The 24,509-nt window shown below is 42.7% G+C and overlaps 1 long non-coding RNA gene and 1 pseudogene across 2 annotated transcripts, besides 2 other annotated features; one reads left to right on the plus strand and one right to left on the minus strand.

Annotated features, from left to right (window-relative positions):
- Positions 1–855: 855 nt before the first annotated feature.
- Positions 856–20,812, plus strand: LOC105372555 (uncharacterized). 2 transcript variants are annotated; one of them, XR_937312.3, is made up of 4 exons: positions 856–1,210; positions 14,490–14,528; positions 16,907–17,032; positions 20,520–20,812. It is a non-coding gene; the product is annotated as an uncharacterized LOC105372555 (long non-coding RNA). The 2 variants fall into 2 exon arrangements; XR_937311.3 differs by lacking the exons at positions 856–1,210; positions 14,490–14,528 and adding an exon at positions 15,242–15,440.
- On the minus strand, positions 10,029–10,327 carry RN7SL607P (RNA, 7SL, cytoplasmic 607, pseudogene; annotated as a pseudogene).
- Positions 14,749–15,455: an enhancer, noted in NCBI's record as "H3K27ac hESC enhancer chr20:20723796-20724502 (GRCh37/hg19 assembly coordinates)". NCBI's record gives its function as "activates a minimal SCP1, AML or CMV promoter by ChIP-STARR-seq in naive H9 embryonic stem cells {active_cell/tissue: H9 hESC(naive)}" and the evidence as "EXISTENCE:reporter gene assay evidence [ECO:0000049][PMID:30033119]".
- Positions 15,456–16,162: an enhancer, noted in NCBI's record as "H3K27ac hESC enhancer chr20:20724503-20725209 (GRCh37/hg19 assembly coordinates)". NCBI's record gives its function as "activates a minimal SCP1, AML or CMV promoter by ChIP-STARR-seq in naive H9 embryonic stem cells {active_cell/tissue: H9 hESC(naive)}" and the evidence as "EXISTENCE:reporter gene assay evidence [ECO:0000049][PMID:30033119]".
- Positions 20,813–24,509: the final 3,697 nt, after the last annotated feature.

A 24,509-nucleotide genomic window follows, 5' to 3' on the forward strand; every position in this document is an offset into this window, starting at 1 on the left:
AGTATAGTGGTGTGATCATAGCTGACCGCAACTTCGAATTTCTGGGTTCAAGTGATCCTCCCACCTTAGCCTCCCTCCTAGCTGGGACTACAGGTGTGCCACTATACCTGGCTACTTTTTTATTTTTCTTTTTTGTAGGCATGGGGTCTCACTATGTTAACGAGTTTGGCCCAGTATATTTTTAAGTGCTTTTTGTTCGACTAGATGAATCAGAAGTCTATTTCTCAAGTCAATTTCTGACCTGCCTGTTTCAAGCATGCCTGGTGCTTTTCCTGTGGATATTCTGTTTACTACTCTATACATACCCTCACTATCCTCCATGGAGACAAACTTTGGGTTTTCTTTCCTTGCTGCCAGCACTTCAACTATTGGGGCTTCTTCTACTCTCTGCCTCTACCTCTGGAAGACCATTCTTCCTCCCCTTTGCCAGCTGCATTCCTGCTCGTTGGTGGGAAAAGCAATCCCTGTCAGGCCAGTCAGCTTCTGTAAACTAAAATCATTTGATCATGTAGACACAAGGCTAGTATGATATTAAAAGGAATGAGCCAAGGAGTCACAGGCTTAAAGAATTTTAGAATTGGAAGGATGTTAGAGATAAGTTACCGGATACAGGAGATGAGTCTAAGGAGATCAGTGTTTTGGTTTTTTGTTTTGTTTGTTTTGTTTTTTGTTTTCATTTCAGATGCCTGAGGCCACAAGCTGATACCCTCTGTGTTTCAACTACTTATTGCTATGTAACAAACTATCTCCAATCTTAGTGGCTGAAAAAAACATTTTGTTTATTTGCTCACAATCCTGCAATTTGCAAGGCTTGTCTGGGACAGTTCATCTCAGGTTTACATGGCTGATGTTTGACTGGGGCTGAAGAATGGACTTGCAAGATGGCCTCACTAACATGGCTGGCAAGCTGGTGTTGACTGTTGGCTTGAAGCTCAGCTGGGGCTGTTAACCAGTGGCCTCACTTCCTTTCTGCTTGGCCTCTCCACATGGCTAGATTGGACTTCTCACAGGGAGGCAGTCTCTGGATATTCAAACTTCTTACATGGTGGCTGGCTTCTTCTAAAATACAAAAATGAAAGCTGCCAGGCCTTTGTAAGGCTTAGAATTGAACTGGCACCCTGTCACTTCCTCCATGATCTATTGGTTAAAGAAGGTCACAGAACCAGCCCAGATTCAAGGAGCGGGGAACAATCCAAGGACATGAATATTGGTAAGTGTGATTCATTGAGAACCATCATTATAAAAAATTAGCTCACTAATTTTCCCGCTTTCACCAAATATTGAGCTTCCACTGAAATTTTCAGGCCAGCAAATAATATGGTTAGTCGAACATTGTCCTAGGAGACACCTGAGCTTTTGACCTAGCCTGGTTATTAATTAGCTTTAGAGACTTGAAGCCATCTAAACTGTAAGTTTTCTGGCCTGGATGAATTTTCATGTAGCTTCTAGCTCTAAATGCAGAGTCCTAGGTATCAGTTGGTCTTCAGTTCCTAGATGAAGCTTTAAAAAAAAGTTGGGGCATATGATTTTACTATATTGGATTAAACAAACCTCTGATTTTTCAGTGCAGTCAAGCTGTATAAAAGCTCAACTGTGTCTCTACTAAAAATACAAAAAACACTAGCCAGGTGTGGTGGCGCACACCTGTAATCCCAACTACTCAGGAGGCTGAGGCATGAGAATTGCTTGGACCTGGGGGCAGAGGCTGCAGTGAGTGGAGATCACACCACTGCACTCCAGCCTGGGCGAAAGAGTGAGACCCTGTCTTAAAAAAAAAAAAGTTCATTTGGGGCTGGACACTAGGGCTCACACCTATAATCCTAGCACTTTGGGAGTCCAAGGCAGGAAGATCGCTAGAGGCCAGGAATTTGAGAACAGCCTGGGCTGCAGAGCGAGATCCTATGAGGCATGATTGTACCACTCCATTCCAGCCTTGATGACACAGCAAGACTCTGTCTCAAAAAACTTGAGTTATTTGAGATAACTCAAGTTATTACTAATTACTTGCAGCTGGCAGGGAGGTAGGAACATGGATGGAGTCTCCAGAACAGTTGGGAAGAGGGCGTGTCCGCTCTCTGTGCCACTAAAACGCAGCCACAGAACTTCATTGGCATACACCAACACACATTTATTCAGCTCATGAGTCTATGGGGTTCATCTGATCTGGGTTGGGCTTGGCTGGTCTTGACTGAGATCACTTATCTATCTAGGAGTTCAGTAGCTATTGGCTGATCTAGGGTGGCCTTAGCTGAGTGTAGTGATGCACACCTGTGGTCTCAGCTATGAAGGAGGCTGAGGTGGGAGGATCACTTGGGCTCAGGAGTTGAGGCTGCAGTGAGCTATGATCATGCCACTGCATCATCCAGCCTGGGTGATGAAACAAGACCTTGTCTCCATAAAAAAAGAAGACCATTAATTAATCAATTAATCAATCTACCATAGAAAATATCTTGTAAAAACCAACTTTGAAAATGGACTTGTTGAGTGAGCTTTTTTTTTTTCTTTAAACAGAGTTTTGCTCTGTTGCCCAGGCTGGAGTGCAGTGGCACGATCTCGGCTCACTGCAACCTCTGCCTCCCAGGTTCAAGCAATTCTCTTGCCTCAGCCTCCCAAGTAGCTGGAATTACAGGTGTGTTCCACCATAACCGGCTAATTTTTATATTTTAGTAGAGACAGGGCTTCACCATGTTGGCCAGGCTGATCTCAAACTCCTGACCTCAAGTGATCCACCCACCTTGGCCTCCCAAAGTGCTGGGATTACAGGAGTGAATCACCGCACCCGGCCAGGCTGTTCTAATATCTCACGATTGCAGTTCATGCTGTCTGTGCCTAGCCCCAGGACACATATGCAGAGGGACGTGGGAGTGGGCTTGCTGAGTGGAAAACACCAAATCCACCATAGTGGTCACCTCCGATGGTGAGGAGGGCCATTAGTGGGTCCTTGAGAGAATGTAATTGTTTGATGGGTGTTGATTTCATCATTTCTGTCCTTCTTTGTATGTCCAAAATGCGTTGTTCATAATTTAAAAATGCCTGAATACACTCTGGCTTTGAATCGGCCCAGATACAACCCTTTTCTGGCTCTGCTTTACTGTTTTTACTTGTTAAGAGTTTTTCTCAAGCATGCTGGAGTGACTGATGCCTCCAAGAAGCACATACTAAAGAAATACCGAATTCGTTTTCTGCAAAGTTAGCAAAACCATCAATTTTTAAAAAGTGTTGTTTAATCTGTGGCCAACAGAAAGTTTTTCTCTGACTTTAGGTTTTTTTCTTTCTCCCCAGCTTTAAAAAAAATCCATTTTCAGAAAAGTGACTTATATAAACAGTCCCCACCTCGGAGAATTCCAGGATATGCTTTATCCACTGGGCACTAAAACCAAGAAAACTGATCTGGGTCATTTCAGGCTTCCATCCTTTGTTATTTCAAGTCAATAAAAATAGTTGGGAGGAAGGTGACTCAGGATCTGGCTTGCTCTGTCTTCTTGATTAAAATAATGGCAGATTAATTTGGCTTATTTGATTCCTTTTTATCTCTTTATTATTCTTGCTGGAAATTAGATAAAATGACCATTATTCCTTTCTCACCTCCAATCAGTTGACTTAGAGCAAAAAAAAATTATTTTCACCAGATTGATGTGATTGCACACAAGATTTCTGAATTAGATAGCCCTAGTTTTCCCTCACTTCCTCACCAAAAATTCCACCCATGAAGGTATATTTCAAAAATAGAAAGTGAACACAATGACCATGTGAGTTTCCATTAAGAAGAAAGAGGGCTATGATTCAGCGGTTGTGCAGGCACTGATTACCTAATCAAGGCCGTAACAACTGCTGCTATTTAGAGGTGATACCCTGAATCATAAAAAATTTTCTCTTTTGATGTTCCCTCTACTTTAGAAATCTCAGAGTGTTTTAAAATATATATGAGAACCTCAGGTACTTCTATCAATAGTAATCAACAGTCTGTCTTTACTCAGTAGAAATAATATGTAAAAAATACTAATAGCTAAAATTCATAAAGCCCATCATATGTGTGAATTACTGTTACAGTTTTCATGGATTTATATACAGAAAGGCTCTGCTCCTCATGCAGAGATAAAGGCCATCAGAAGATCAAATAAGTTAGAAGAAGGAGGCAAAATACATCCATATTCTTCCAGAAAAGAGAAAAGACAAAAATTATCAGCTGTTTTTGAGTGGCTTGGAATTAGAAACGATCCTGGTTCTTCTGCTTCAGAGCAAAACAATAAGAAAAGATAGGTGAGGAGCCACCAGCGTGGATGCTTTCAGAATCTAAATTCAAATGATACTTTTTCTCTAGCAAATCACCAGGTTCTGACATGACTGACTGTGATTCTTGGCAGAGGATCAAACCTTCTGCTATGAAACCCCAGTGAGAGGTGAAATCCCAGGGCAAAACCCCAGTGTGGGGCTACAAAAAGAAAATTGGTTCCCCTCCGGGAGGGCCAGGGTCTGGCTTTGAGCAAGGCAAGCCAGGCACCTAGGGCGCCAGATTTGAAGAGAAGTAGGTAACTCACTCTCATGGCTGTGCAAGGGCTGACCTGCAGAATTGTTCCAAGTCCGACTCTGAGTGCCAGCAAAGTGAAGTTTCCCTAAAGTATTAAACCTGGAGATCCCAGGGGTGGAGATGAAGCTGAGCCTGGGTCTGGAAAGTGCTTGGTGGTGGGGGCATCAGTACAAGGGCACTTCTGGCATCTCCCGTTCATCTCAAATGGGCCTGCATAGGGAAAGTTATTACAAAGTCCATTCTCAGCCAGGTGCGGCGGCTGATACCTGTAATTCTAGCACTTTGGGAGGCCAAGGCAGGAGGATTGCTCAAGCCCAGGAGTTTGAGACTAGCCTAGGGAACATAGCGAGACCTCATCTCTACAAAAAGTAAAAAAAGTAGCCAGACATGGTGATGCATGCCTGTAGTCCCAGCTCCTCAGGAGGCTGAGGTCATAGGATTGCTTGAACCTGGGAGGTCAAGGCTGCAGTGAGCTGTGTTGCACCACTGCACTCCAGCCTGGGCAACAGAGCAAGACCCTGTCTCAAAACAAAAAAAAAGCCTATTCTCAATAATCCAAGGGTAAAACAATGAGATAAAGCAATACCTTTATAAAGCAATACCTTTCATTGCAAGGAGGGAGTAAAATTGCTAGTGTGTATGTGGAGTAAAACAGAGTAACTCTATCAGTTAAGACTTTTATAGGATTACAGTGGCTCATGCCTGTAATCCCAGTGCTTTGGGAGGCCAAGGCAGGCGGATCACCTGTGGTCAGGAGTTCAAGACCAGTCTGGCCAGCATGGCAAAACCCCGTCTCTACTAAAAAAATACAAAAAAATTATCTGGGCATGGTGGCGTGCACTTGCAATCCCAGCTACTCAGGAGGCCGAGGCAGAATATCACTTGAACCCAAGAGAAAGAGGTTTCAGTGAGCCGAGATCATGCCACTGTACTCCAGCCTGGGTGACAGAGTGAGACTACATATCAGAAAAGAAAAAAAAGACTTAAAAAAAAATGTAACCCTGAAGAAGGCCAACTTAAGCTGCTGTAAGAGAGAAAAGGGAATGTATTAATTCATGCAACTGAGATGTCCAGGAAGGGAGTTGACTTTAGGGTGCAAGGCTGAGCTCCTACTGGGCCTTTCTGTAGCTGACTCACCCCTGGGCTCTTCCTATGGCAGGATGGCCAGGCAGTTCAGGGGCTCAAACAAGAAAACTGGGTTGACCTTCACTGGGCCCCTGCCAATCACTGTGGCAGGTGATGGAGAAAGACCAAGACACTTGTGAGTGGGTAGGGGACAAGATGTCCCTAAAGGAGAATTGGGGACTGTCACAAAATACAGTGAATGACTGGTGGGGAGCAAAAAGCCGCAAAAGGCCTCTGCAATAGGAGAACAAATGACAGGTCAAATCTGGCTCTTCACAAACTACTTAAATGCCGCCATTGGCTGTACTGAATGCCAAGAAAACACATTTTCTGATACCGGCTACCTCCAAGTTGGTGGGCTGGGGAGATTTTTGTGTGAGAAATGTTTTTAATTGTATCTTCTTGCTGAAGCATCTAAAACCTGCCAGAGAGGAGTGACAAACATTCAGTTACCCTGCCTGCTGCTTCCTCTTTTACACAAGTATATCATCACTTCATTTCAGGAAGGGCAAACACTTTTGTGTTAGAAAATTGCCTGATAAAAGGGCTTCCTCCATTCACTAACCTCTTGGCAGAATTGTGACCGCAGACCTATGGAAAGCATGCAGAGGAAGTGGCGTTTGAATGCCACCCTGCTTAAGGGTTTTCATGCACTCACAGAAAATCCCCAGACCAAAGCCCTAAGTCATCTCTACTTACCCAGAGACACAAACAGGCCTTTCCACTCTCCTTAATGCTAATGCTTTGGAAACACTGAAGCTTCCTGCAACACTTTTTGATCATTCACTTTCCAAAATCTGAATCAACACTTCTAAGGTAACAAAGGGCATCTGCGGGTTCTTTTTGGCTTTGGACAAAGTGCAACTTCAGCTACTAGTTTCAAAAAGAAAAGTTCTAGTGCTTTTTGCCTGAAATATGTAACTAAATGGTTGTTAAACCTACAGTAACTTATTAGAAAAATAGAAGTAAACCATTTATAGCAAAATAAATTCTGGAGATGGTAAGGAATGAAATGTAAAAACAAATCTTTTTTTAAAACTAGAAATACATGTGGGCAACTTTGTTTAAAAGCACAGTAAGTTACAGTCTGACGACAAACGAGAAAAATATTTGCAGTAGATGTGATAGACCACATGTGTCTATTTCTAGTGTATATCGACCTTAAACATCTTGATAAGAAAATCACCAAATTTCTAATAGAAAAATGGGCAAAGGTTTTAGTGATCTATTGTACTACATGGTGACCACAGTTAATAAAAATGTATAGTTTAAAATTGCTAAAAGAATAGGTTTTTAATGACCTCTCCATGCACAAAAAAATGCTAAGTTGTTGAGGTAATGGATATATTAATTAGCTTGAGTGAATCTTTCCAACAATGTACACGTAGATCAAAACATCACACGTACCCCAAAATTTACACACTTTTTTGTCAATTAAAAATAGATAAATAAATAATTTTAAAATAGGCAAAGGATATAAACAAAAAAAATTGATGGAAGAAATACAGAATAAATCTAACCAGCAATGAATTACAAATTAAACAAAATTGGGATACTATTTTTTCCCATCAAATTAGCAAAGGGCTTTAAAATTAATAGTTGAATGAGATGCTGATATAATACTAATCCAAATATAAATTGGAACAGCCTTTCTAATAAGAAATTCAAATAAATCTGTATCCATTGTCCCTATAATTTTCTATGTAGGAACTATCCTAAGGAAGTATTTTTAAATTTTTTAAAATTTGAAAAAATTGAAATATATGCATATTTCATCACAACATTATTTATATGCAGATATCACAGCACTGCTTAATGATATCAAAAATTATAACTAACTTAAGTGTGTAATAAGAAAATAAGATTATAGAATATTCATTCTTTGGAATATCATGCATGCAGCCACTAAAATTATTTATGACTCTTATCAAGACAAGGGAAATGTTAATATCATAATGTTAGATTTAAAAAGAAAGAAGAGAAAATTGTATGTACAATATGATACAGATTTTACAACTTCATCAGCACATGAATGCATCTATAATTCTACATAATGCAGAGGAAAGAAAACACAACCCCAAAATATATACCTGGATTTTATGCAGGCAATGATTTTTATTTATTTTCAAGGCTGTGGAATCACTACATGAGCATGTATTACTTTTGATAACTAGGAAAAAAATCATTTAAGGTAAAACATATGAGAACTTAAATAGAATTCTCTTTTAAAAAACAAAATAAGTATAAGGGTAAAGCTTGGTAACTTACTACCGTCCTAGATCTTTGAGTTCTTTGTTAAAATATCTTCCTTTTCAAGCCTGTACAGGTCCGTAAAGAAAATGAAACTTTCAATCAGCTTAATAGAGAAGTTAGGTGGACACTAAGATTCATATTAACACCTGCTGACAGGAGGTGTCATGACTAACTTCCAACAGGGTAATTAGTGTCTCCACCTCCTTAATAAGTGCCCCTGTAGTATATGCTGATCAAGCATAACCAGATCATCCTAAACTACAGGAGCACCATATGGTTATGCCGCATTCACTCTTTTTCTAGGGGAGTTAAGGAGTTCACCGGCACTAAGGCTGTCCGGGGTGGCTCTTTAGTTCTCCCTCAAGTGGGTTTACTACCATGAGCGCCTATCAAGGATCTAAGCTGTGTGTCCCTATGACAGCTTAGCTAGGCTGGACCAGGGTCTTAGAGAGAATCAAACTCTTGTTTCTAAAATTTAGGGAGTGGGGAGGTAGGCAAGATCAAATGCTGTGGCCTGTCCCCAGAGGGCTATGACATATGAGAGAAAACGTGGGATTAGAAGTGGCCCATTCCATCAGAGACAGAGAGAGCCTAAGGTGTTTGTTCATGTGCAATTGGACGACCCCCCTTTTCCCAGTGTGTCTTATCTGGGATTCTCCCCAAAGACAGACCCTGAGAGAGATTCAGATGCAAGTAATTGATTTGGAAGATGATTGCAGGAAGCACAGTGAAGAATGGGAAACTGACCAGGGAAGCCCTACATAAGATGTGTCAGTGAGCAGGTTGTCCCGTGGGCAACAGGAGCTCTATCCCACTGGAGACCCTCAAGGAACTGTGTGGAACACAACTCATTATTGCCCTCCTGAGGGGCAGGGAAGCTGGGATATTTATCCACCAATTCCTTCCCTCAGTGGCTGAAGTTTGTGCCCTGTGCATTAAATCCAACTTCCTGGCACTTACAAACTGCCCCATGCTGGGTAATCACCTTCCATGCCAGAAAATGCCCTTGGGCACAAAGGTGCCGGAAGCTATTTCAGGAAGCTGTGGGTGGCACTGTAGGGGACTGTCTGCAGTGGATGCTGGGGGAGACATGTAGCATCTGTTACTTCAGGCTACTTGAGAGTGCTTCCCCTGTGACCTGCCCCCCTGGTTTTCTCCCTCGGGTACATCATGTATTATGTACTCTTGGAGAGTGATTCTGTAGCTTTATTAATCCACCCATTGACTAACCCATTCAACTATTTTGATTGAGAAGGATGAGAGAGGTATGAGAAGGAAAAAATAATGCAGGGTCCTATCTGAAAGTGTTAGAGAATCGGAAAGCGAGCGAGACTTCAAGATGTTACCATGTGAATAGTTTGAAAATCTGCTTTCATATAGCAAATTGAAATGAAGAGACTGATCATGTAGAGAATAGACAAACAGAAATGTATCAGAAGTGCAACAGAATTTAAGTTATGCAAATCCACTTATATCAAATCATGTCTTAAATGTATAGGGAGATGGTATTTAGTGAAAGAGTCAGCTTATTTGTTTCTATTTTTATTGTTTTTGAGACAGGGTCTCACTCTGTCCCCAGGCAGGAGTGTAGTGGCATAATCATGGCTCACTGTAGCCTCAACCTCCCAGGCTCAAGTGATCCTCCTATCTCAGCCTCCCAAGTAGCTAGGACCACAGGCGTGTGCCACTACACCTGGTTAATTTTTTATTTTTATTTTTTGTAGAGATGGGGTCTTGCTATGCTTCCCAGGCTGGTCTTGAATTCCCGGGCTGAAGCACTCCCCCTTACCTCTGCCTCCCAAAGTGCTGGGATTCCAGGTGTGAGCCACTGCACCCGGCTTTCCCATGGATGTTTCTGGTCTAGAACAATTATTACTATGTGTCTTGCTAAATGATAGTTTTCCAATTGCATCATTCCTTCTACATTTATTAATTGGGATTCTGTTGCCTTCCCTCTCCCGTTTATTTATTTATTCAATTATTTATTTGTATCAGTATGGACTCATAGGAATTTATTTTATTTTATGGGTTTTGATCCATTGTCATCATTATTTATGTTGTCACTCAAAATGTTCCACACCAAAGAGCCAGGTTTTGTCTTTTTTTTTTTTTTTTTTTTTTAAGAGGCAGGATCTCTCTATGTTGCCCAGGCTGGAGTGCAGTGGCTCTTCACAGATGCAATCCCACTCCTGATCAGCACATGAGTTTTTTCCTGTTCCATATCTGACCTGGGCCAGTTCACTCCTCCTTAGGCAACCTGATGGTCCCACACTCCCAGGAGGTCACCATATCAATGCCACACTTAGTGCAGACACCCGATCAACATATTGCACTATAGCCCAGAATTCCTGGGCTCAAGCGATCCTCCTGTCTCAGCGTCTTGAGTAGCTGGGACTATAGGTATGCACCAGTGCACTTGGCAGAGTTAGGTTTTAAAAGTGTATTTGCCACAAAGCCTTCTTATTAGGCCCTAGAAGCTGTGTGCTTTCCTGGCCCTTTTCCTACAAAGGCTCCACCCTGAAGCCAGTAATCCAATTAAGAAACTGGCAAATGAAAAACCTTACAACTACTGGATCTTCTGTCTGTCTGTCTGTCTGTCTATTTATGTGTTGTGTGTGTGATATTTATATATAAAAGAGCTCTAATTGGCTTAGAAAAAATAAGCGCTTATATCATATTTTGTCAGAAAAATAGAAACTTTAATGCCTCTTATTCACATGACTTTAGTAACCTGGAAATAAAGACAGTTTTAAAGATTATTGGTAAAATTAAAATGTCTTCAAAATGTAGACATTTGGTCTAAATTAAAGTCAAACATCAGATTTGCCTCATCTCTCAACTTATACAAAAATCAACTCAAGATGGAGCAAAGACTTAAATCTAAGACCTAAAACCATAAAAATTCTAGAAGATAACATCAGAAAAACCCTTCTAGACATTGGCTTAGGCAAAGACTTCATGACCAAGAACCCAAAAGCAAATGCAACAAAAACAAAGATAAATAGATGGGACTTAATTAAACTAAAAAGCTTCTGCACAGCAAAAGAAATAATCAGCAGAGTTAACAGACAACCTACAGAGTGGGAGGAAATCTTCACAATCTATACATCCAACAAAGGACTAATGCCCAGAATCTACAAAGAACTCAAACAAATCAGCAAGAAAAAAACAAACAATCCCATCCAAATGTGGGCTAAGTATATGAATAGACAATTCTCAAAAGAAGATACAAATGGCCAACAAGCATATGGAAAAATGCTCAACATCACTAATGATCAGGAAAATGCAAATCCAAACTACAATGTGACACCACCTTACTCTTGCAAGAATGGCCATAATCAAAAAATTTTAAAAAAATAGATGTTGGTGTAGACTTGGTGAAAAGGGCACACTTTTACACTGTTGGTGGGAATGTAATAAACTAGTACAACCACTGTGAAAAACACTGTGGAGATTCCTTAAAGAACTAAAATTAGAACTACCATTTGATCCAGCAATTCCACTCCTGGGTATCTACCCAGAGGAAAAGAAGTCATTATATGAAAAAGATACTTGCACACTCATGTTTATAGCAGCACAATTTGCAATTGCAAAAATATGGAACCAGCCCAAATGCCCATCAATCAACAAATGAACAAAGAAAATACTACTTGGCCATAAAAACGAAGGAAATAATGCAACCTGGATGGAATTGGAGACTATTATTCTAAGTGAAGTAACTCAGGAATGGAGAAACCAAACATCGTATGTTCTCACTCATAAGTGGGAGCTAAGCTATGAGGACGCAAAGGCATAAGAGTGATACAATGGACTTTGGAGACGCAGGGTAAAGGGTGGGAGGGGGGTGAAGGATAAAAGACTACACATTGGGTACAGTGTACACTGCTCGGGTGATGGGTGCACCAAAATCTCAGAAATCACTTCTGAAGAACTTATTCATGTAACCAAACACCACCTGCTCCCCATAAACTTATTGAACTTTTTTAAAAGTATATTTGCCACAAAAAAGCTGTGTGACATATTTCCAAGTTTCCTGTGGTTTACACAAAGAAGCAAGTCTCTTGAAACATTGACATAAAATGGCACTAGGATTGTCCTGGCAGTGTAAGTTATCAGACAGAACAATTATATGCTTTCAAATCCAAGAGCAAGATTTGGCAGGAATAAGTTAAAAGTTATATACGAACTCTTTTTTGTTTGCATAATTCCCTCTGTGCTTCTCCTGCCTTTGACAGTGAAGCTCCGGCCCAGTCAGAGCATTGGCTTAGCAGAAGTCATAAACAGTTCCCAAGCTGCTACTTAATGTACAGGGCTTTGGGGTATTGAGAGGTGATTGTGGTATGGAACCTAGCGTGACCTGGATTGGGAGAGGGAATTTTACGTGCAGTGTCCTCCCGGGAAGACAACAGTTAAGTGTAGCATGTTACACTGTGTTGGATGAAACCCAAATCCAGTCTGTGGTTTGACAGTTTCAGAGTAACCTACAATGTGTGGCAATATGCTGAAATTACTTTTCAGGACAGAAAGCTGGCCTGAGAAAGAGACTCTGGGCTCCAAACTGCTTGTCACAGGAAAATAATAAATTTGGACAACATGCAAAGTTCAAATCACCTGGGTATGATATAGGGGACAGGGCAGGACCAGGAAGATCACATTCAGAGTGCTTTCGACAATGGGCTCCAGAATCACAAAGCCTGGATCTGAATCTGGAGCTTTGCCACTTATGAACTTGGGCAGATACTGAAACCCTCTGAGTTCAGCTGCCTCATCTTTTACATGGGCATTTTACATGGTGAGGAAAAGAGAAGCTATATTATGCTGGTATTTCTCCACTTGCTTTCCCTGAGTCCACTTTCTGCCTTTCTCTGTCCTGTTCTGTGCCCAGGAGACTGACCTCTCCTGTCAGAATCCCCCAGGCTCCCCTGCCTGCCAGTTGGGTGTGGCCAATAGGAGCTGCTCCAGTGAGATTGGAAGGTGGCACAAAAGCGAGGTCAGGGATATGGATGCCTTTCTCCCTCCCAGCTCTATCTGTGCACACCACCTTCCAGCCCAGCCTCTGCATGTAGCTGTGTTCCTTTACAGCCGTGTTCTTGGCAAATGGCTCCTCTTCTCTGACTCCAGCTCTCACTAGACTATCTCTTCCCTCGCTCCTTCAGGCTGTTGCTATTTCCTGGGAGCTTCACCGTCCCTTAGCCCTACCCTCATGTCTGTGAATGTCCTTCACCGGCCTCTTTGAGTGCCACTTGTTACCTGCTGTGGAGGCAGACACATGCAGCACAGAGCTGCTGGGAGAATTAAATCAACGTTCCTCTGAAGCACTTGGCATGTGACCCAGAACTTCAGAGGTGCTTTGGAAATGTGAATTGTGGGTGCTGTTATCAAAGCATCTCCCATTGTCCTTGGAGGCCTCACTGGTGGGTGACAAATGCAGGGTGGATTTAGAAGGAAGCGAGGGAGGGTGATGATCTTGGAGCGTCCTCGTATAAATGGGACCAAAGCACAGGATCTCAAAAGCCTGTGGGATTAGAGGCAACATTGTAGGAGCTCAATCCCGGCACTCTGGGCACTGTGTCAAAACAATTAGTGCAAATAGAGTTTGGCATGGAGTGGGGAGACTTAAAGGTGACAGGGCACAATGCATAACTTGATTTATGAAGAAAAGCCCAACCAAGATGTTTAGAATTAAAAATTCACCTTCTAATGCATACCTTAGAATCATGTTGTCTTTATTCTTACCCTGGGACAGTGGAAAATCCAGCAGAAACCACCAAGTAGAGGCTTCTGCTCTCTAAAATACACAAACACTTTTAGTAATCCCTTGCTAGATCAACTTAGTTTTCCAGAAACACTTTTTGGGAGATGATCTTATGGCTGTGGTAATAATGGGCACATGGAAATAAGATGTGTGAAACGGCCAGCCCTCAGAAAGCCTTAGTGTATACTGGGCAACAGAAAACAAATCCACATCAGTCACCTGCTGCCATATTTTTTCAACACTTGGTATGGAATGTGCGTATATTTGCAGTGTGATTGCCATGTAAGATATGACAGGATTGAAACCAAATCACTGGTACAAGTCGTAGGGTCTGAAGTATCATTCAGATTCACTAGTTTTAAAAGGAGTCTGGGCGCGGTGGCTCACGTCTGTAATCCTAGCACGTTGGGAGGCCTAGGTGGGTGGATCACTTGACACCAGGAGTTTGTGACCAGCCTGGGCAACATGGCGAAACCCCATCTCTACTAAAAATACAAAATTAGGTGGGTGTGGTGGCAGGTGCCTGTAATCCCAGCTACTCGGGAGACTGAGGCAGGAGAATCGCCTGAACCTGGGAGGCGGAGGTTGCAGTGAGCTGAGATTGCACCACTGTACTCCAGCCTGGGTGACAGGGCGAGACTCCGTCTCAAAAAAAAAAAAAAAAAAAAAAAAGGAGATAATTTAGCATTCATTAACCTTGTCTTGGATGTTGTGGCAGGGGGGCGGGAAATGCACTCAAGAGACCCTCTCTGAAGACCTGGTTGACTTGGTTGGGAGTGGGGGCATGATGACTGAAGCTCTCTTTTCTGCCTTGTCCTTGTTTCTCAGCTGTATTTCCGGAACTGGAGCAAGAATCAGTGTTGAGAGGTAAGGGGAGAAGTTCCGTAAAGATAGATTCAGCATCTCAGAGATTTCAAAGGAAGGTCACCTGTTTGTTTGCCAAGGTAGGGGGAAAGTAGGACTGCACAAAGGTTCTACTGAAAAAAAAATTATTTAAATAAAGGTGAAAAATTACCACCCACTCACTCTGCTTACCTTGTGTCAAGCAGGAAACCAGGTTCATGGCAGATGACAAACACCCAGTTTTCTGAGTCAGTATTCTGTAGTATTCTTTTATTTTTAAATTAAAATCATGAATAGTCATGAATGAAGGGACTTGATTTTAGGCCTTTGAGGGGAGAAAAACAGTCAACCATATGTCTGAGTTTTAAAAATTGTAACATCAAAGGTTTTGAAGAAAGTTTCAGAGAGAGAAAGAGAGAAAATATAGATAGAAAACAGTTTCCTGAGTAGATGTGCGTTTTAATTTTGGCTTCTGGCTCAGTCTCTTAGCAGTTATAGGATTAGGATTTGGGGCAAATTCTTTCTCTTCGCCCAAGTTTCCTGAAATGCACCATGGGGACAATGATAAAGGCTCGCTCTGGGTGCAGGAAGAATGCCTAATGTGGCTCGGCATATAGAAAGGGCTCAATGCATAATCCCGACTATCAGTGTTCTTGTTGCTGCTATGGTTACAGTCTCCTCCCCCCATGTTAACTGTAGACCCTCTGGCCCTCACATTTTGAGCGTCACCACGCTGCCAGTAAAGGAAATGGCCTGAAACCCTGTTCTCCGATATTGTTCAGGACATAGTAGCCTGTACTCACTGCCTGTTTACTCAAGCGAAAGGGCTCAGACTGCTTCCTCTAACGGTTGCAGAGAAGGGCTGAAGCTTTGTCAGCTGAGCCTTTGAGATCTGGCTGGCTGTGAATGAATAATTAAACTCCTGCCAATGCAAAGGTACTGTGTAAATTCCTTAAAGCGGCCTCCTGTTTTCTCTGTCGTGCTCCTGGCTCACCCCCGTCATCCGATGTGTTGTTATTTAGCCAGAAGCCTGAGTTTCAAGGCTCAGACGCCACCCTTTCCCTTGTCAGCTGTTTCTCAATAGTAGTTGTGTGTTAGCTTTGCCAGGGAGGCCCTGGCCACCACAGACCCGGCTGAGAGGGGCTGGATAGGGGCCCACTCGAGCTAAGTGCAGCCAGTTCCTGTCTTAGCGGATTGCAGGAAGAGCCACTCCAGCAGAACACAAAACAGAGGAGACAGCAAGGGCCTTTTCTGCATATTGATACCCTCATGGAAGGAGGGAAGGAGAGCCACAGTCCTGTGGAAAACTTGGCCTATTTGTATAACATCCTGCTACTGGAGGGCCAGAATTCATGGGTGGAGAGGTACTTTAAAACAAACAAAGAGCCACTCCTGAAAGTGTGCTAGGATTGAACAGAGGCCAAGTCAAATCCCAGCGTGTTCAGGAGACATTAAGTGTGTTTCCTGTCTCTACCCATCAGCGGTGCCATAAAATATTTCTCCAGGATTTTTGAATCCTAGGATGACTGGTTCTCAGCACAGATTCCCAAAGCTCAGCCTCATAGGCCGTTCAAGTGGAATCACACACAAATAGCTCAGCTGTGCAGAGAAAAGAGCGCCTCTTTTATTGTTTGACCTTGATCCTGAGCCTCCTCCCACCTGCGAGCAAGAGGAAACAATTACCTTCTAAATCTGCCATCTAGTCATTTAATCATCCTATGAGGCAATGCTCAGTCTTTAAGATTTTTGTGTGTTCTGTATCTTTCCCAGAATGTTTTGCAAGATGGCTTTTGGCTGGATGGGAGATCAATGGCTTATATGGCAGAGAAGAAAATATGGGGTCTGCCATGGCTTGGACATTTGACCCCTCCAAATCTCATGTTGAAATTTGATCCCCAGTGTTGGATGTGGAGCCTAATGGGAGATGTTTGGGTCATGGGGGTGGATCTCTCATGAGCAGCTTGGTATCCTCTTTGAGGTAATGAGTAAATTTTTGCTCTTTTAGTTCCCATAAGAGCTGGTTCTTAACAAGAGCCTGGCACCACCTCTCTCTCTTGCTCCCTCTTTCCTCATGTGATCTCCACACACACTGGCTCCTCTTCCCCTTCCTCCATGATTGGAAGCCTCCTGAAGCCCTTACGAGATGCTGATGCCAGCACAATGCTTCTTTTCCAGCCTGTAGAACTGTGAGCCAAATAAACCTCTGTTTTCTTTATAAATTACCCAGGCTCAGCTATTCCTTTATAGCAACACAAATGGACTAAGACAGGATCCTTGGGGATGGTGTCCTTCAGCCTCCTCCTGGGGCGATGGCCCTTATGCCTCTGAATCCTAGCTACCTTGCTGGTCTTTTGGCCAACCGTCTGTGGCTAGAGAACTCATGGTCTGTCTCATGCCCACAGGGATTGGTAGCCGACTTCCCGTGACTGACCAGCCTCTCATTAGCTCTGCCTGACTGCAGACCCTCCAGCCCTGACAAGTCCTCCAGCAGCTCGTTGGCCTGAGCACCCACTCCTGCCTCTGCTAAGGTATCACCCCTTCCCACTTAGCAGGCCCCAGGGCAGTCCTTGACTCAGAGCCGGAGAGGCAGAGGACCCATGAGGAGCCTGGGAAAACTACCTCAGGGCTTCCCCTCCCTAGCCACAGTGATGCAGCTGAGACCCTGGCACAAGTATGTGAGTGCAAGTAGTTTATTTGAGAGGTGATGCTGGAAAATGTGGTAGGGAATGAAGAAGCGAACAGGGAAAGGAGACGCCATTAGAGCTTACATTATCAAGCAAATTGCTACTGTGAGCACCTGGAACTTAATGCCATCCCCACTCCTCCCGGGAGGACTCTGGGAAACCATATAGAACATGTCTCAGAATTGTGGGCATGTTAATAACTCGTAAAGTTAACTATGAAGGTTAAATGGAATTTGCATGCAAAGCAGTTAGCATACAACCTAGCACATAAGGGCTCAGGAATCATATGCTGTTCCTTGTTCCCCACAAAACCTCCTGCCCCCCAAACTCCTTCTTGCCAGTTCTTTCCATGGCTTCTTTGGTTCTTAATTTTTCTTAGATTTTCTCTTATGGCTTTAACCACTTCTTTCTGTCTTTCACCCATTTTTATTTTTACTCTCTGAACTGAAGGCAGGTATCCCCCAAGGTCCAGGCTTAAGCTTTTGGCTTTTTCCCTGCTAAGTGAATTCTTCCACATACAGAGTTAATAGGAAAAAAAATACTCAAGACTCTTTGAACACAAATCCATAGAAGTACCCTTGGGATATATGTTCCATCCCACCCCCAGGCAGGGGACAGACACTGTCCATGTTAAAATAAAACTTTGTCATATGAAACGTTTTAGAAAGTGTAGTAGAAAGAGATGGATGAACATTTATAAGTTTGGTAATATGAAAGGTTGTAGGCACTGGGGTAGGTGAGTAGTCTCATACCATTTCAGTGGTGCGTGCCTGTAGTCCAGCTACTCAGGAGGCTGAGGTCAGAGGACTGCTTAAGACAAGGAGTTTGAGGATGCAGTGAGCTGTGATCGTGCCACTGTCAGCCTGAGCAACATAGCAAGAACTGACGAGAGAGAGAGGAGAGAAAACAGATAGAAAAATGCTGATACCAGATAAGGAGAAAAGCAGGGAGCCTTCTACTTGATTAAAAGCTTGAGGTTGATGGAGGTTTTTTAGATGCTAGCTGCTAATTGAGAGAAGTGGAACTGAGAGAGATGACTCCAAATTCCACTACACAGGAAAAAAAAGATAAACTGGGAGCAGTATCTATGTCCAAGTCAGAAAAAGAGGAAAGAGGAGGAGAGGAGGGCCTCATTCCTCCTGAGACAACCTTGTGGGAATGGGAAAGGAGCAGGAGAATGACCCAGTCTGAACGACCACTTCAGGGCTCAGGGTCTAGCAGGTTACCAAAAGAGGTGTGCATAAGGGATTCTTGAGGCTTTCAACTATCTCTCCACCTGGGCCAGATGTCTGGGATCCACAGCTTCAAATTCATTTGAAGCTGAATGATGTGAATCATACTGGGAAGATACCTGGGAAATGTAACCATGCTTTCTCAGACCTAGTGACCAGCACTGTTCATGCTGAGTGGTGGAGATCAAGCATACATTAGGGAGCTTACTAGAGAACTCAGAAGAATAAGGGCAACAGGCAGATCTCAGGGCTCCCTGTACCATTCCTATGTGACGTGCCTTCCTATCCTGCCATTTTACTCTTAAGATAGCAAAAAGCAAACACAAGGTGGTCTGGGGACAGAGACAGGCACCACATCTACACTGGCACAGGACATCAACTCTGAACGAGGAACTTACACTTTGATGTTGCCTTGCCGAACTTCTCACCCCACCTCTAGGCCCTTTCAGATTTTCCTACCAGAGTGCTCTGTGTCACCTTAGACTCAGTCTATGTGATATTCAGCTTCTTTCCCAAGCCAGCCTTTCCTTACCATATCAATCTTTCTGTTGTTTGCTCCACAATTTGTCAAAATTCAGATGAGTCACTTCTACCCTAGCCTTTCTCTTTTTCTTCTCAATTGAAACTTTCATTAAAGCCTGTCTCTTCTGCCTTTGAATTTTTCTCTGAGTCATTCTGTCTTCACATTAGCATCCAGCAGCTTAGATAAGGAAGCCCGTACTGTTTAAGAGACCTTTCCTCCCCTCCAGTCTTACCCTGTCCATTGCTTTCTGCACTCTGCTGTCCATCATCCCAGCCCCTCCCTTCCCCAGAGCCTACAGCAACTTCCCACTGGCCAACTTTAGTTGAATTTCCCATATTGGAGAAATCACTGCTCCATAGATTTTTTTCCCTTCAAATGGTCTCATATACATCTTTTCCACTGTAGTCCCCTTTAATCCCAGCACTCATCACCTGTGCACCCAGTTACCATTGGCCTCCTTGGTTTCAATTTCTCCACTCTACCCTACATTCCACTCCTGCAAGAATCTTGCTTAAACATCATTTCACCAAGCCACACCTCAGCTCAAGAGTGCACGGTGGCTTACAGCTTCATATCACATCAGATCTAAACTGATTGATTGTTATCACCTGGCCCTGAAACCTAATTTTCCCAGCCGTCCTCACCTTTTCTCTCGTCCAAGCTGAGTTTCCCTCAACCCTCTCTGTTCTGCAAGCATCCTGTTCTTAGTCCTAGTTGTATGGCATTGCTTAGCCCTCTGCTCAGTCAAAGACGTTTAACTTCTTAAGATCTATGGGATCTTTTATGACTATCTGTCCACTCCCATCCATGCTCTATCAAGGTTAAAACTAGGGCGTTGGGAGAAACAGGTCAGATTTGATGTGGGCAGGCTGCGACTAGGAGTCCATGAAGCTCCACAGAGGAAATTGGACATCAGGGTCCTAAACACAGGCCTGAGAAAGAATCCACTATACCAAGGATGTCCCGTGGGGCTCAGAGTGCAGGAGATAAGACCTGCCTGGGAAGCAATACCATGGCAAAAGGCTTTCAGTTCTAGGAGAGATGCAGGCATCTTGAGTTTGAAAGATGTTCAGAAGTTAGAAGTTCAGTTTATACAAAGGAAGGCCAGATAGAAAGAAGACAAAGGCAGGAGACGGTAGCAGAACCAGGAGAATGACCTGGCAGGCTGACCAGTGACCTGGGCAGGCTGACCAATGCAAAGGTCTTGCCTTTGCCATGCATGTTTTGTGCGTTTACTCAAGCTCTATGGGTAGATAGTCTCCAAAGACAGCCATTCTAAGTTCCTGCTTTCACCTTTATGTCTGTCACTCTGCCATAGAAAGGTGGCATTTATTTATCCTCTCCTAGCATCTGGGCTAGCGATGTGACTGTTTTGTCCAAAGGAATATGATAGAAAATGATGATCTGGAACTTCTGAGCCCAAGCCTTAAAAGGCCTGGACACTTCTACTTCTGAAACTGACCCACTTGTCCCATGGAATTGAAGTTTATGGTTTCTCTTGAATAAACAGAAATTAGCCCTCCCAGTCTTAAAATTTGAGAAAGTTACATTTGTCTTATCTGAGTTCCTTTTCCAGAAAACCAACCACCAGGACTCCCAGATAGTATCAAGAAACTGAAACTCACCAGATCACTGCCTCTGGACCATGAGATGTCAGATCCCTCACCTGTCACGATTGCCTAACTGACCACCTGCTTCCTGTTGACCATCTCCTCTTCCCTACCCTCCTTAGTTCTTGTTTTCCCATACATTGTTACATTTCTTCCTTGCTCTATAAACCTCTAATTACAGTCAGTTGGGGAGATGGATGTGGGACTGATCTCCCATCTCCTTGGCTGCAGCACCCAATTAAACCTTCTTTCCTGGCAATACTCATTGTCTCAGTGATTGGCTTTCTGTGTGGTGAGCAGCAGGACGTAGGCCAAACCCCTGGTATTTCAGTAACATTTCCTTCTTGGAACACAGTCCCATATTGTAAGGAACCCAACCCACATGGAGAGGCCAGGTGGAAGAGAGTGGAGGCACTCAGTCTATGGTCCCAGCTTAGTTCCCAACTAACAGCCAGCATCAACCACCAGCCATGTAAGCTCTCCACTGTGGACATTCAGCTCAGCCAAGGCCCCACCCAGTTGACTAGAGTCCCACCTGACATCACATGCAAAAGAGCTACCCAGGTGAGCCAAGTCAGCCTATACAGTTAGAAAGAAAATAAAATGATTGTTGTTTCTAAGATGCTAAGTTTTGAGGTGGTTTGTTTTTGTGCAACATATGATTGAAACAGACCTTCAATAAATGTCTTGGCTTCTAGTGAAGACTTTTTTTGTCATCATTTATGACCTAATATGTTAGGAATCCAGAAGGCAGGATATCTGATGCTCTCGTGGGGCACTCATCCCTCGAGGATTTGGGTTGATACTGATAATTCTCTTTTCTGCTAAGTGCAACACAGATGAGCTCACCTATCTACAGGTTTTGGTTATATTCCATTTAGCACTTTATTTTAAGTTACCAAAGTTCCCTATTTTATGGGCAAATCTCATAATAAGCCCACATTTGTATATTTTTCTCTCCTATCACTTAATGCAAAGTAGAAGTGCAACACATATTGCTGAATTCAACATTCATTTCCAAATATTCCTGCATGCATGTGGGACTATCTTAAATATAGCTCATGTGACCAAACAATAACATCCATTGTCATTCAGCCTTATGTGGAACATGTTAACTATTTAAAACTTCCTTGGAAAATAAAAAAACCACAAACACACACTCAAAGTGCTAAAAATGTGTGAAGATAAATTTGAAAGAAAACAAGATCTTTTTAAGAATTTTTTTTTTTTTTTTTACTTAAAAAAATTTAATTTTGGCCAGGTTTGGTGGCTCACACCTGTAATCCCAGCACTTTGGGAGGCTGAGGTGGGCGGATCACTTGAGGCCAGAAGTTTGAGACCAGTCTGGTCAACATGGTGGAACCCTGTCTCTATCAAGAATACAAAAAAAGCTGGGCATGGTGGCACCCTCCTGTAGTCCCAGCTGCTCGGGAGGCTGAGGCACGAGAATCACTTGAACCTGGGAGGTGGAGGTTGCGGTGAGCCGAGATCGCACCACTGCACTCCAGCCCAGGTGACAGAGTGAGACTCTGTCTCAAAAAAAAAAATAATAATAATAATTAAATCTTGTAGAGATGGGCACTATGTTGCTCAGGCTGGTCTCAAACTCATGGCCTCAAGTGATCCTCTTACCTCTGTCTCCCAAAGCACTGGGATTACAGGCATGAGGTACCCGACCTGTCCAGGCTAGGTTATTTTAATTTACAGAGATTCAGAGGAGTGAAAATGAATAACAGCAAGTAACTATGAGTCAAAATCTGGTCCAGGAAGGAAAGGAACCTTGATTTATTTCTAATGCCAACATACATATTAATAAAAGCTTCAAACATTAAATGTGTTTTTCAGTGTTGTATGTGTTTCCTGTGCTCATGTGCCCGAGAGGGGGTTCAACTTTGAAATGAAGCCCCATGCAACACAAACGAGGCCATTGAGATGCCACAGATTTGCCTGAGGGCATTTAAATGCCTTCAAATGTTGTCTTTCTGGAATCAAAATATAGTTAGAGGTTATTATGTTGCCAGCATGGGAGTGTTAGAATTTTTGGCTTATGGAGACTTAATATGGAAGCTGGGCAGGATAAGGATTGAGACATAAGGAGCGATGATCAACTGATTCTAAACGCACTGCAACCATTCATGAGGTAAGAGACCAGCAGTTTCTGTTACAATAAAAATCAGCATACTCTTGAACTTACGAATCAGAATTAGGGATGACTGAACCTGTTTGGTCAAAGAACACGCCATTCTTTAAGCCAAAACCTAATGCTTTGCTGAAGAGATCTCCCTGCCTTGAGGATCAAGGTATGGCTCCTGATGGCCGTAAACTATTGGAAAGTCAAAATCAGTATCTCTGGTTCCTCGTCATTTAAGGAAATCTCAGATGTAAGGAAAATGGGGTTTATATAGTATTAAAGCTGTTTAAAATAGGCTCTGTGGTGTAGTCTGGAAAAAGTGACTAGAGTACAAAGAGACTCATATTTCTGAGGCTCTGCAGCCAGGGAATTTCATTGTTAGAATTAGGATTACATACAGCATAAGAGGGAACGAATAAGGGTGAGAGGCGGCTTGTGGAGGTGACGAGTGTGCTTTGGGTCAAGATGGCTTGGTTTCCACAAACCAGTGTTGTGATCTTGGGTAGGTAAACTACCTACTGTACTGAGCCTGTTTTTACATTTATAAAGCTAGAAAATGATGACAATATCTGACCTGCTTACCTCACATGATGTTATAAGGTTCCACTGAGATAATCCATGATAAAACATGTCAGAAACAAAGTATGAAGCACTACAAAAATATAAGATTTCAGCTACAATATCAACCTGGAGAAACATAAACAAAAAGAGAGATGTTGGACCACTGTGCAAATCAAATAATTGAATGAATAAATGAATATATGATTGATGTCATGGTGCATATATATTAAAGTGAGTCATGGAAATTTACAAACGATTTCGAGGTAAACTTGATATGTAAATTATGTCTTCAGAATACATGGATAAGCTTTATTGGGCAATTGGGATTTTGGAGACTGGAAGGAAAGAAAGAAAGGAGGATGAATGGATGAAAGGGAAAGAGGGAAGTCATATCAAATTAGCCAGAGTGCAGGAGACATTGCAGGCAATATATACGAAGATTAGGAAGAGATGATTGGCAGACTCAAGGGACAGGTTGAGGAACAGAAGACAACAGGACACTGGGCCAACTGTAAGCAACCAGGTGCTGTTCCTACTTATTTAAGTCTTACAAACCACCCCATGAGGTAGGTATTATAATCCCCACTTTACAGAATGGGGAGGAGGAAACAGGCTCAGAGAGCCTTATCTGGCTTAAGGATATACATTAGTAGATGGAACTTATATAAAAACTCAGATCTTTCTGAAGTCCAAGCTTCTGTTCTTTCTTCTACGTCAGAAGTCAGGATTTATAAAGTAATGAGAGATCCCAGAAAGCCCAGCGAGGGTGAAATGGTGGGGTGGGGTGGGAATAATACGGAAATGAGTAGAGAACAATGAGTAGAGAAAATTTCTCCTTCTTCACAACCTTATTTTCGTTTCATATGACCCAATTTCATCAAATTATTTTAATATGCTCATCTCCTAAATAATCAAGTTTACATGTGGTTTTTTTTTTTTTCCTTCTCTCTTTAGCAAGAAGAAAAAAGAAGGTAATTATATTCAGGCTAACCTGCCTTTTTAAACACACAAATAACAACCTCTTAGCTCTCCCCTCCTTCCCCACCCAAACCACCTCCTCTGGAAATAAACACATTACCAATGCTGGAGTTGTTGCATGACCAGAATTACGGGACAATCAACAGTAGGAAACGATATTGCAAATACAATTGAGGGCACAATACACAAACAGCCTTATAAAATTTCTCTTACAAAACTTCCTGTTACAGACATCTTCCCATAATTGGTGTGTGATGCCATTGGCCAAAGTATCAGGGCAGAAATA

This window comes from Homo sapiens, chromosome 20, assembly GCF_000001405.40.
Source record: "Homo sapiens chromosome 20, GRCh38.p14 Primary Assembly".
Classification (NCBI taxonomy): Eukaryota; Metazoa; Chordata; class Mammalia; order Primates; family Hominidae; genus Homo; species Homo sapiens.